Source organism: Homo sapiens, chromosome 7 (genome assembly GCF_000001405.40).
Source record: "Homo sapiens chromosome 7, GRCh38.p14 Primary Assembly".
NCBI lineage: Eukaryota > Metazoa > Chordata > Mammalia > Primates > Hominidae > Homo > Homo sapiens.
In genome coordinates, this window is record NC_000007.14 from 143,753,452 (window position 1) to 143,766,615 (window position 13,164).

Here is a 13,164-nt window from a genome sequence, read left to right on the forward strand (position 1 = left end):
GGACATGGGGTACATTTTTTTAATATACTGTAGAACTCTATTTGTTAATATTAAGTTATACATATCTTTACATATACACACACACACCCACTCTCTCTCCTGGTTTTGGTATCAGTGTAATAATAGCTTCAAAAAATAAATTGGGGAGTGTTCTCTCCTTTTCTGTTTTCTGGAAAAGATTGTGTAGAATTGGTGTTTTTTTTTTTAAACATGGTAGAATTCTCCAGTGAAACCATCTAAACCTAGAGATTCCTTTTCTGGTAGTTTTAAAATTATGAATTCAATTTTCTTAATGGTTATAGAGTTATTCAAATGATCTATTCATGCGTGGTGAGTTGAGTTTGCTTGTGTTGCAGGAGGAACACTGCATTTTGTCCATTTTGTCTAAGTTGTCTAATTTATGTGTGTGGAGTGGTTTGTAATATTCCTTGATTGTCCTTTGTTATATGTGGTGTCTGTAGTGATATCACCTGTTTCATTATGGTATTTAAAATTTATGCCTTTTCTTTTCCTTTTAATTTCTGTTTGAGTTTGCTAAATTTTATTAATCTTTTAACAGAACTATCCCTTTGTTTTATTGGTTTAACTATTTTTTCTCTTTTAAATATAAGTGTTTTCTTTTCTTATCTTCATTAATCTCCACCCTCTACTTGCTTTGAGTTTATTCTGCTCTTCTTTTTCTAGGTTCCTGAGGTGGAAATCTATTGCTCACTCGAGACTTTTCCTCTTTACTAATGCATGCATTTACTGCTATAAGTTTCCTTCTCAGTACATTGATATGTCACAGTTTCATGTTTATCCAGTTCAATGTATTTTTAAAATTTTTCCTTGAGACTTCTTCTTTGACCGATAGATTAGTTAGAAGTGTGTTTTTTTAATTTCCAAGTGTTTGGGAATTTTCATATCTTTCTTATGCTGATTTCCAATTGGATTCCCTACAATGGTTTCTGGTTTTCACCTGCTCTGGATGATTACGATCTCTTTTAAATTTGTTCTGGTGAGTTTTAGGGCCTAGGATAGCTCTATCTTGCCATGTGTTTCGTCAGCACTCAAAAAAAATGTGTATTCTGCTGTTGTTGTGTGGAATATTCTGTAAATGCCAAATAGATTCTTTTGGTTAATGGCATTTTGAGTTGTTTTATATTCTTGTTGATTTTCTTTTTTTTTCCCCCCTTTTAAAATATGAAACGCTTCACAAAATTTTGTGTAATCTATATGCAGGAGACGTGTTAATCTTGTCTGTGTCATTCTAATTTTAGAAAGTGCTGCCAAAGCCAACACTCCTTGCTGATTTTCTGTCTAGTTCTATCCATTATTGAAAAACGCAAGAGAAAATTTCCAACTATAATTGTGGATTCATCTATACCTACTTTCAGTTCTGGCAGTTTTCTTTTTAAAAAAAAAATCAACTAAAGTTTATTAAATTAAGCATAAAGTTACTTTCACATTTATCTACAACCACAGTGAATACAGTTCTTGGCATGAAGACACCACAACCTTTAGAATTTAAAGCCTCCCCACCTGCAAGATTACATATATAAAACTCCCATTATTGTTTCTATAACAGTGGATTAATTCACCAAATTAAAATAGTTATATGATCTAGAATAATAAAATGGAATGATTTACTCATAAGATTCCTATTTAAAACATCTTTATTTACAAAATACTATCCTGAGAATTATAATTCCATTAAACTTCAATTTGAGCAAAAGTGCAATCACTTAAGTAATAGCAGTTACTTAAACTGAAAATGAGATCAGTCAAAATTACTTTTGAAGAAAGCAACAATATTGTCAGGTTTCTTTTGTGGTCCTGGATGTTCAGTAGCATTAAAGGCGGAATCAATCCTGAAGGGAACTCGCTTCTACCTTCAGAATGCGGGGTTGGGGTAAAATCCAGGTCTCGGGTGAAAGTAAGGAGGTAAACCCCTCGGTGGGTAGATGTTTCTCATTGCAAATGGAGCATGTGGTGGACCTGGGAAATCCCTTGGTGGAAAATAACCTCGAGAAGCTCCAAACATGGTTCCTGGAGGAGGTGGGGGGAAAGGAGGTCCTCTTCTCATGAACGGGCCCCTTGTATCCACTGGAAACAATGGTCCTCTGACTGGAGCAAGAGGTGGAGGAATAAAGCCAGGGCCAGTTGCTTCATTTTCAGCAGGGAGAGATGAATCAGGCACATTTAAATTACCAAGATCATCTTTGGCATCATTTCTACTGGATTCCATTTCTGAAGGCATTGACCCATCCATTTTATCCAAAGAAGTCATTTTAAAACTTCTGGGTTCTGCTGATCCAGACAGTCTTTCAGAATTAGAATAAAATCTGTCTTCCCTTTGAGGAGGAAGAGCTGAATCAGGATATGATTGTCCTGGTGGAGGAAACATCATCTTACAGTCCTGTTCCACCGGAGATGACAGGGACCCAGTGTCAGAAGGAGCCCTGTGAGGATCGGTTAACCTGTCACAGCTTGGTTCTCCTCTTTCATTGGTAATCTGATGGTCCAGGGGATTCCCTGGGCCTCTTGGGCCTCTTCCTCCTCCCTCCGGAAGCACAGGTGAGAGTCCCAGTGGATCCTCCAACAAAGTTTGAGGAGAGAGAAAAGCTCTCGTTTCAGATGAACGCTGACCCAATGGTGCGGGACCATTCGGGGCATGCTCTCTGCCAAATGCTGTATTTGAAACATCAAGTGCATTAGGATCTTTTTCTAAAAGTTCAAATTTCAACTCTGTTTCAGTTAATTTTTGTTTGTTGTGAGCATTTTCTTTCCTTAAATCACTGAGGTTTCTTTCAGCAGTCCGAGCTGCCAACCAATTATCATGTCCTCTTTTCTCGTAGGAAATAACCTGCTTTTGATAAAAATGAACAGTTCTCTCCAATTCTTCTTCAAGATCTTTGGCTAGCTTTCTATAGGTCTCCAGCTGTTCAGTGGCACGGCTGAGCTTTTCTTCCACTTTAGAAAGCTTCTCTTCTTCCTCTATTCGGTAATTTTCCTCCACTGTTAATTTCCTATAGAGTTTCATTTCATCTTCTTGATAGAATTCAGTCATTATTTTAAGTTTCTGTTGAAGCTTCTGATTCTCACTTTCAAAATATATGTTTTCTGATTGCAAAGATTCTTGTTGAGTCTGAAGATTTTTAATATGCTCTGTAAGCTCTTCCTTTGTTTTGTCCACTTCAGATAACTGAATAATAATGTGGTTTCTTTCTCCTTCTAAGCTTTTTAAAGAAACATTTAACTTAGCAGCATGAATCAGTTTCTTCAAAGCTCCTTTCAGAGGATCATCTAAGTTAGCACCATTTTCCCATTGACTGTTCACTTCTAATTCCAGGTTATCATCATCCGTTGTGTCTTCTTCAAGCACAGCAGCCTGATCTTTCATCATTGGCAAGTGTCCAGTCAGGGTCTTGATGTGATTTTCTTTATCATTCAGAACTTGTTCTGCGTGTACTTTGGAGTCTTCAAATGTTATTTTCTGTTTATTAAGTTCACTCACTTCTCCTTTCCATACTTCAGCTTCTTGCTGAAAAAGCTGTTTATGGCTTGTCTGAAGTTGAGAATTTTCATTCAAAGCATCTTTTATTGCTATAGCCCGTCGTTCTTCACTCATTTTAAATGTCTTGCAGATGATTTTGGCTTCAGCTATTTGTGATTTGAGGGATTTTGACTCATCTTCTAGAGACTGTATACTTTTTGAAATATCCGCCATCAATTCATCTTGTTGAGAATGTTTAGATTTCTCTTCTTTTAAGTCTTTTTCTAGACAGAGGATTTCATCCTCAAGTTCAGAATTGGACCTGTTCAGCTTTTCACAGGTTGCCTCCAAACTTCGTGCTTCTTCTGCTGCCGCCTTCTCAAAGCTGGCATCCTCTAAAGATGACTCTACTTCATAGCCTTCATACTCTTTTTGAATAAGGCTAAACTTTTCAAGTAGTTTACATTTTTCTTCAATTAGTCCAGAAAGCGTTGCACCAAGTTTTTGCTCTCTTCCCACGTAAAGCCGACTCCTAACCGATCTAAAACTTCTCCACAAAAAAAGGAGAACAACAAAAAATCCAATAACAGCTGCACATACCACCAGTTCCGATGGAAAACCATAAGGATTCTCATCTGGTCTCATACTCTCAGGTAGTGCTGCCACAACTCTGCGTAGCTCCTCCAGGACCAGCCCCAGGTAGGGCTGAGGGGTAGCACCAGGCTCCTCCATAGCGTCGAGGCTGCTCTGGCGGTCACCGCAGTAACACTGGCCACAACAAGCGGTGGAGAACACGCAGCCTTGGGTCTGGAACCCGAATGCGCACGTGACAACCAACCGGAGCGGACCACTGTGGAGCGGGCTGCGGGGGGAGCTGGGGAACGCGGGCACCCACAGGCCTCACAGGCCCATGTTGTCCCCCACCACCTCCCCTGGCCCTCTTGTTACACTTCACATCCTGAGGCAGCGCTGGTCTGAGCCCGGCCCGCCTTAGTTCTGGCAGTTTTCACATCACATATTTTGAAGCTTTATTTTTTGGTGAATACACTTTTAAAATTGCTGTCTTCTTCATGAATTAAACCTTTGATCATTATATAATCTGTTTCTGGTAATTTTCTTTGCTTTATCTGATATACATACAGGCACTCTTGCTTTCCTTTCATTAATGTTTGTGTAATATATCTTTTTTCATCCTGTTAATTTGGCCTGCCCTGTATTGGTAAATTTCAAGTGAGTTTCTTGTACACAGCATGCAAGAAACATATAAGAAAGGGTCATACTTTTACATACACTCTTCTATTATCTGTCTCTTGGTAGACCATTCATAATTAAATGAATTATTGATACTTTAGTGCATAAGCCTGACAGTTTTTGTTTTCTCTATCAACTCTTGTGTCTCTGCTTGTTTTTCATGACTTTCTGTGGGTTATTTGAACATTTATTTTAGAATTCCATTTTGTTATTCATAGTGTTTATGATGTATCTTCTTTTTTATAGTTTTCTGGTTGCTTTTTATAGCTTAGTGGTTGTTCTAGATATTCCTTTATACATACATTATCACAGTCAATTGGTGTCATCTGTATTCCAGTTTGAGTGTAGTATAGCAACCCTGTGTCATTTTATGTCTCTTTACCCTCTCAAATTTATAGTATCATTGTCTTACATCCATTTAGATTAACACCAGACAATGCTATGATTTTTGCTTGAAACATCAAACATAATTTAGGAAATCGAAATCTATGCCAATAAATAAAGTGAGCATTTTAGAGCTGCCAGAAGGAAATAGGACACGACCTGCTTTGTCTTTCATTTTTTCTTTCTTTCCTTTATATTGATCATAGATATTATGATGCCCTATCTATTAACTCCAATATCTGGATTATCTGTGAATTTGTTTTTAATAATTGATTTATTTTTTATGAGTCTGTATTTCTTGCTTTTTTGTGTATGTGGTAACTTTTTAAAAGTATGCTGAGTTTCTGGATAATATGATATAGAAATGCCCAAAAATTTTGAATTTTTTTCTGGACAGATGTTATATTACCTGCAGATCACCTTGCTGCTCTCAAGACCTAGTTTTAAGCTGTGCTATGGTAATGATATTTTATTTTCCTCTTAGGACATATGCCTTACTCCTAGGATACTGTACCTCTCCTTAGACAGAATCTTTAGGGTCCCAACTGGGTTTCTCAGTTGTTTACCAACATTTCCCCATCTGGCTGGATCTGAAACCCAGTAGGTTTCCAGGAAATTTTCAGTCCCTGATGATCTCTTCTGCTTTCCCAGCAGTTGCTTTCTACTAGGTCTCTCCTCTTCTTAGCCAACTGTCACACAGCTAAAGAGTCACGGAAGGACCAAAATGGCATTTACACACCCATTTCCAGGGTTCTTTCTCTCTCCCATATGGTACATTAACCCCCAATTCCCAACCAGCTTATTAGCTTTGAACTCTATTTTTTGCTTCTTTTGGTTACCAAGACCACTAACCTCTGGTTGGGTCCCATTTTCCTGTACCAAGGTCAGGAAGATGCCTTTCTGGAAAACCCTGGCAAATGTGGTACTAACCTCATGTGTCTCACCTTCCTTAAAGATCTCATACCTGACTTGGTACAACAATGTTCTTCAATGCCTGCTGATATGGTTTGGCTGTGTCCTTACCCAGATCCCATCTTGAATTGTAGCTCCCATAATTCCCACGTGTAGCCTTGCCCACCTGAACCATGCTGAGGACCTGGTGAGAGGTAATTGAGTCATGGGGGTGGGTCTTTCCCATGCTGTTCTTGTGATAGTGAATAAGTCTCATGAGATCTGATGGTTTTACAAAGGGGAGCTCCCCAGCACATGCCCTCTCTCTTGTCTGCCATGTAAGATGTGCCTTTGCTTTTCCTTTGCCTTCTATCATGATTGTGAGTTCTCCCCAGCCATGTGGAACTGTGAGTCCACTAAACCTCTTTCTTTTATAAATTCCCTAGTCTTGGGTATGTCTTTATTAGCAGCATGAGAACAGACTAATACAACTGCCAAGAATTTTTTTTCTATATTTTGTCCAGATTGTATAGTTTTTTATCGTGGGAGGGTGAATGTGACACCAGCTACTTTGGTGTCAAGTAGCCAAGTCATGTACTAATGTGTTTTTAATGTAGAGCTATACAGTCTTCTTTCTATACTTAAATTTTTAATTAAAATATGATAATTAAAATATTACTAAAAATTTCTTAATGATTTTATTTCATGAGGGAAGAGACTTGGTCAGGAATGTGAAGTATGGCTTACAAGTATTTTCTTGCTAGCTGTGAAATAGATTGGAGGAAGTATTATCCGGTCCCCCATTTGGCAGATGCAGAACCTTGAGGTTAAAAGACATAAACAGTTTGAAGTTCACCTTATAATTGATTAGAAAGGGCAGACCTGAAACTCAGGTTCAGCATTAGACCTCCATGTCTTTGGCACAAAAACATACCATCTCTTGACTTTTGCCCTGTCTTCATAATTCCAAAGAGCCTGAGATTACTTTCAGACTATACCATTTTCCTTATTAGTAAGTAATCTGTCTGAAGGTCTGCATGAGACAGTCATAGTGTCAGCCAGAAGTCTGACATTCAAGCTCATTTCAAAGCCCCTGGAAATAGACTCTCTTCACTGCCTTCTGTGTGGACGTCCATTGCTCTGCAGTCTGAGACTTGAGTCCACACCAGGCAAACACCTCCCTAACTCCTCAGCCTCCATTCTTATCCCCACGGTCAAAGTTCAAGTCCTCAGCACCTCTCACCTGGACTGTTCCAGAAGCCTCCTCACTAGTTTCCCTACCTCTAGCCACAATCCCAACTGAGCTGTCTCCCAGAATACTGCCAAATTAACCATAAATTTCAGCTTAAAACCTTTCAGTAAATTCCTGTTGCCTTCAGGTAGAATCCTTCAGTAAATTCCTGTTGCCAACCTTCTCATCATCTGGGTCTGCCTTCACCTCCTGCCTCAAGTTCCAGGTTCCCATCTTTGCACCCCTTCTCCCGCAATTCCAAACTGATGATCGTTTTCAGAACATTTCACCACAGTTCATATTTCTGTGCATTTACAAATACTACTCTTTCTTCCTGAAATGGTTTTGCCCTCTTTCTATAACAGGGTTTCCTGAAATGGTTTTGCCTTCTTTCTATAACAGGGTTTCCTGAAATGGTTTTGCCTTCTTTCTATAACAGGAAAACTCCTGTTTATCTTTTAAAATCAGCACCTTGTCCCACCTCCCCACTCCGCCCACAAAAACAAAGAAAAGAAAGGAAGAAGGAAATACCTGATACTGGTAATTTACAATGAAAAGAAGTTGAATTGGCTTATGGTTCTGCAAACTGTACAGGGAGCATCTCCTCAGCCTCTGATGAGGCCTCAGGAAGGTTTTACTCATGGCAGAAGTCAAAGTGGGAGCAGACAGACATCTCACAAGGCAGAGCAAAAGCAAGAAAGAGAGAGTCAGGGGGAAGTGCTACACACATTTATAAATGACCAGATCTCTGAGAACTCACTTACTATGGTGAGGATAGCACCAAGCCATGAGCAATCCACCTCCATGACCCAAACACCTACCATTAGGCCCTACTTCCAACATTGGGGATTATAATTTAACATTAGATTTGGTGGGGACGTATCCAAACTATATCACTCTGCTTCAAGTCGGAGTGTCTTCCTGGAAATTAAAACTTTAATGTAGGCCGGGCATGGTGACTCACACCTGTAATCCCAGCACTTTGGGAGGGCAAGGCAGACAGATTACCTGAGGTCTGGAGTTCGAGATCAGCCTTACCAAATTGGAGAAACCCCGTCTCTACTAAAAATTCAAAATTAGCCAGATGTGGTGGCAGGTACCTGTAATCCCAGCTACTCAGGAGGCTGAGACAGGAGAATCGCTTCAACCCAGGAGGCAGAGGCTGCAGTGAGCCAGGATCGCACCATTGCACTCCAGCCTGGGCAACAAGAGCGAAACTCTGTCAAAGAAAAAAAAAGCTTTAATGTAATAGGCAGACTTCATGAAGATACATTTCATGAAGGTATTGAGTTGGGGGAGTGTACTGATTTATATATTTACCTTCAAAGCATTCTTTTGAATTATTCTGTCAGCATAGAAGACTACGTACATCCACTTCACCTCTACAGATGGGAGCAGCCACACAGCCAACTGAACACCCCATGTTTTCTCTTTGAGAAACAAACTACTTCCTGAGAGTTAGAAGTCTTCTATCCTAGAAAATTTGGTGTTAGTATCAGAAAGATAGACCAAGGCAAGAATATGCAATAAATATTGGCTTGTGCCCCACAAATGGCTGCTTTTTGGTCAGGAACGTGTGCCAGGATATTCTGTGCTGAAGGATCAGTGTCACTGCAAGTCCATGATGAATGCGCATTACTAAGCCACATACTCATAATTAATCTTCAGCGACACGTGAAGAAAACTAAATTTCAAAATGAAAAACGAATAAGTGGTAGAGCAAGAATGTGAAACAGATCATTGAATTCCAGAACCAGTGCCCTTAACTGAGAGAACATAGCATCATAGCTATTCTTTTCCTAATTGCAAGAGCCCAAGATATGCTTAAAGTGAAAAAATATATATATAAATTCACTTTCCTTTAGTGGCCTTTTTTGCTTTTTCATCTGTTCTATGAATCTTTATTCTGAGAGCTGCCTTTACTTTCTCTCTGATTGAAATGGGGATGACAACCAAGGGACCCCACCATTCTCATCATCAGAGTAGGTGTGACTACAGATGGCCAGTCTTAGCATTCCATGCCCTGGACCTCAAGACTTGACTATGAATGTTCAAACGACCTAAGTATAGCCAGTCAGTGTCCAGATGAGTGATAAAGGCATTAATGGAGAAATAATTTCTTTCTTTCTGAGATAATGATTTCTACAAACCATTTAAGCCTGGAATTGCCTTGTAATATTATCTTCACACAAAGAGAGCTTGATGGACAATAAGCACCATCACCACCCACCCCCACCCCTACCATACACACACACATAAATGACAAATCAAAGGCAAAGAGCGATACCCCTAGGGATATTGTTAAAGAATCTAGATATAGTACTGATTAAAGCTCCAGGTCAACATCTAGACATTTTTGTTTCCTTAATCAATAAACTGCTTTTTTTTTTTTTTTTTTTTTTGCTTCTACTTGTTTCAGTTTAGTTTCTATTACCTGCTCACAAAAAATGTATCTAAAAGCATATGTACAATTTAAATAATAATTATAAAGGGAACAATCAGATCAGCAACAGATTAAGAAATAGAATGTTGCCAATAATTGAAGTCCTCCATATGTTCCTCCAAGTTCATTGTCCCTCTCCTACCACCAGATGGAACACTAATCTGACTTCTGTGATCATTCCTTTTGCTCCTTTAGTTTTACTACCTATGTGCACAAACTTAAACTACATAGTTTAGTTTTAACTTGTTTTAAACTGTATAAGAATACAAGAAAGTTATATTTTATGTAATCTTTTATGGCTTGCTTCTTTAGTGCAATACTGTGACATCGTCTGTGTTGATTTGTGTAGCTCTACTTCATTTTTCTTTCTGCCTAATACTCAATTATATAACTATAATACAATCAGTTAATCTATTTTGCTGCTGATTGGTTTTTGATTGTTTTTATTTGGGGCCTATCTGATACTACAAACATCCTTTACATGTATATCTGTGCGAGAGTTTCTCTGGCATACCCTAGGAAAGGAATTGCTGTATCGTAGAATATGCATAGCTTCAACCTTCTTAGATAAAACCAAGCTGTAGATAAAGACAAGTCAAAATCATATCACTTAGAGTATATGAGTTTCCATTGCTCTAGATCCTTAGGAACACTTGATATTATGAGATACATTTTTTTCCAAAGTGATGAGTGCATAGTAATATATTATTGTGGTTTTCATTTGCATTTTCCTCATTACTAATGATGTTAAGCAGCTTTGCATATATTAACTAAACATTTGATTTTTGCTTTTATTTTGAAGTGCTCATTCCATTTTCTTGTGTATTTTTCTATCGGATTTTCTGTATGTCACAATGTTTTAGATATATGAACTTGGTCAGTTACATGTGTGGCCAACAGCTTTTCCCACTCTGGGCCAATTTTCACTCTTCTTGTGGTGTATTTTAATAAACACAACTTCTTAATTTTAAAGTAGTCAAAGTTATTAATCTTTTTTATGATTAATACTATTTGTACCATGAGTAAAAAAAATTGTTTACCCAAATTCCACAAAGAGATTTTTCTATATTATCTTCAAAGAGTTGTATAAATTTTTAAGTTTAAATGAGTTTTGGGCATAGTGAACTAGGAATACAACTGTAGTTTTTTTAAAATATGGATTCCTAATTATAGCACTGTTCATTGAAAGGTTCACTCTTTCTGCCTCATCTACGGGGCCAAAAGTCTGGATCTGTGTGGATCTCTTTGCAGGCTCTCTATTCTTTTCTATTTTTTTTCTTCATCTCTATGCCAATGCTATACTATTGTAATATCTTCATAATAAATCTTGCTAATTATTCTACCTTAGTTTTTGTCAAGAACACACAATTATTCTTGGTTGTTTGTGCTTCCATTTAAATTTTTAAACCAGCTTGTTGCATTCCACTAAAACAAGTGAGTAAACAACTACAATAATGAAAAACCCTGTTGAGATTTTGATTCTAAGTAATTTTTTAAGAATATACATCAATTAGTGGAGACTTGAATTTTTTTTTTTTTTTTTGAGGTGGAGTCTCGCTCTGTCGCCCAGGCTGGAGTGCAGTGGCACGATCTTGGCTCACTGCAACCTCCACCTCCTGGGTTCAAGTGATTCTCCTGCCTCAGCCTCCCGAGTAGCTGGGACTACAGGTACCCACCACCATGCCCAGCTAATTTTTGTATTTTTAGTATAGACAAGGTTTCACCATATTGGCCAGGCTGGTCTTCAACTCCTGACCTTGTGATCCACCCACCTCGGCCTCCCAAAGTGTTGGGATTACAGGCATGAGCCACTGTGCACGGCCGAGAATTGATTTTTTAAAAATTAGTTTTCCAGAGGGGAGGAGGCAAAGCAAGATAGCGGAATAGAAGGCTCCACTGATAGTCTGCCCTGCCACCACAAGGACACCAGGTTAACAACTATCTACACAGAAAAAATACCTTCATACGAACCAAAAATCCGGTGAGCCCTCATAGTACCTGGTTTTAACTTCATATGGCTGAAACAAGCACTGAAGAGATAGAAAAAAAACAGTCCTAAATCAAGTATGCCACCCCTCCTGCACCCTTCAGCAATCATGGCGTGGTGCAGAGAGCGTCTCTAGGTGCTGGGGAAGGAAGAATACAGCAATTGTGAGGCATTGAACTCAGTGCTGTCTTGTTAGAGCAGAAAGGAAAACCAGACCAAACTCCTACAGAGGCCTATGATATTTACTGAAATCAAAGAAATCCTTTTATTATTCTAGAAAGAAGTTGCAATATGACTTTAATATCTCCCCAGTTTTTTTCTGTCTTGTAACCAGCTATAAAACTTTGGGTGATATTGGTCATCAGATTGAATAAGAGGAAACTTTGCAATGGTCCCCTTTTCCCCATTTATACATGCAAGAATCAGAACTTATGGGAATATTTTTAGCAATATTTTTGTGGGGGACGATGATGAAAACTTTCAGAGGAAATAATTAGCTTTTAATTAAATTTCTTGGCCCTTGACATTGTACGGTCCTTGTCTTCATCTCTTACCATGCCTGTTTCTTCTCTCTCCTCACTTGAACTCAGCCAACATTAATTTTGGAGACACTTTTCTCTGAATTATCACCTCACCTTGTCCTGCTTTGTCACTACACTCTGGATCAAGGGCATTCCTCTAAATTGGAAGATCCCCAAGTGTCTTTATATAACTCGAGTCTTTTCCTGACTCTCCTCAAGATGGCACCCAAAGCACAGGCTCCAGCCTCTTCAACTTCGCCGTCCATTACTAGAAAGACAGATCTTTTCTAAAACTCTAACACAGCTTTAAAAAAACAGAAGGCAGGCTCCCCGTAAAAGATCTAGAGAGATGGTATCACATGGTAAAAGAAAACCAAGAACTCGCCCAGAACAAAGTGCTGCAAAGAACAAGAATGACCACAAGAAGTCTTGCAAGTCCAGAGGGAGCAGATGGGGGAAACAGATAAGTCTCAGGAATGCAAGGATAATGTATTCCTAATACATCTATTCGTTCTCTGAATTCACAGATTACAAGAAAAAAAAATTTATGCTCATGCCAAAAAATAAATTGAAAAAATCCAAGTCCCGATGATGGTTAAACATTAGCAGCATAGTAAAATAGAAATAAACTTCCTATGAGAAGTAGTATATCTACCAGAAACCTTCGGCAAGCATTATACTCAGCTGTAAAAAGTCAGATGCATTCACATTAAATTCACAAACAAAAGAATGTTCACTCTCAGTGTTACCTTCAACATACTCATAGAGGTCCTTATCAGTGCATTAAGACAAGAAAAATAAACTGGACAGAAATAAATAAAAGTCATAATATTTGGAAAATATGATCCTTTATAATTTGAGGGTGGATCTAATAGACTTAGTTGATGAATTGGATGTGATAGGGACAGGTAAACAAAGATCAAGGATGATACCTAGGCTTTTGGCTTGAGCCATCAGTGTTTTTCAGAACTTTAACTGAGA

General features: G+C 38.4%; 1 protein-coding gene and 1 pseudogene across 1 annotated transcript; both read right to left on the reverse strand.

The window, feature by feature from the left end:
- Nucleotides 1,177-1,279, reverse strand: RNU6-267P (RNA, U6 small nuclear 267, pseudogene; annotated as a pseudogene).
- CTAGE6 (CTAGE family member 6) lies at nt 1,638-4,245 on the reverse strand. The gene has a single exon (NM_178561.5). It carries the CDS (start codon nt 4,205-4,207, stop codon nt 1,874-1,876), a length of 2,334 nt encoding a protein of 777 aa, NP_848656.2. The 5' UTR covers nt 4,208-4,245; the 3' UTR covers nt 1,638-1,873.

Coding starts and splice junctions, on each gene's coding strand:
- CTAGE6 (NM_178561.5), bottom strand. CDS start 4,207: ATGGAGGAGCCTGGTGCTACCCCTCAGCCCTACCTGGGGCTGGTCCTG.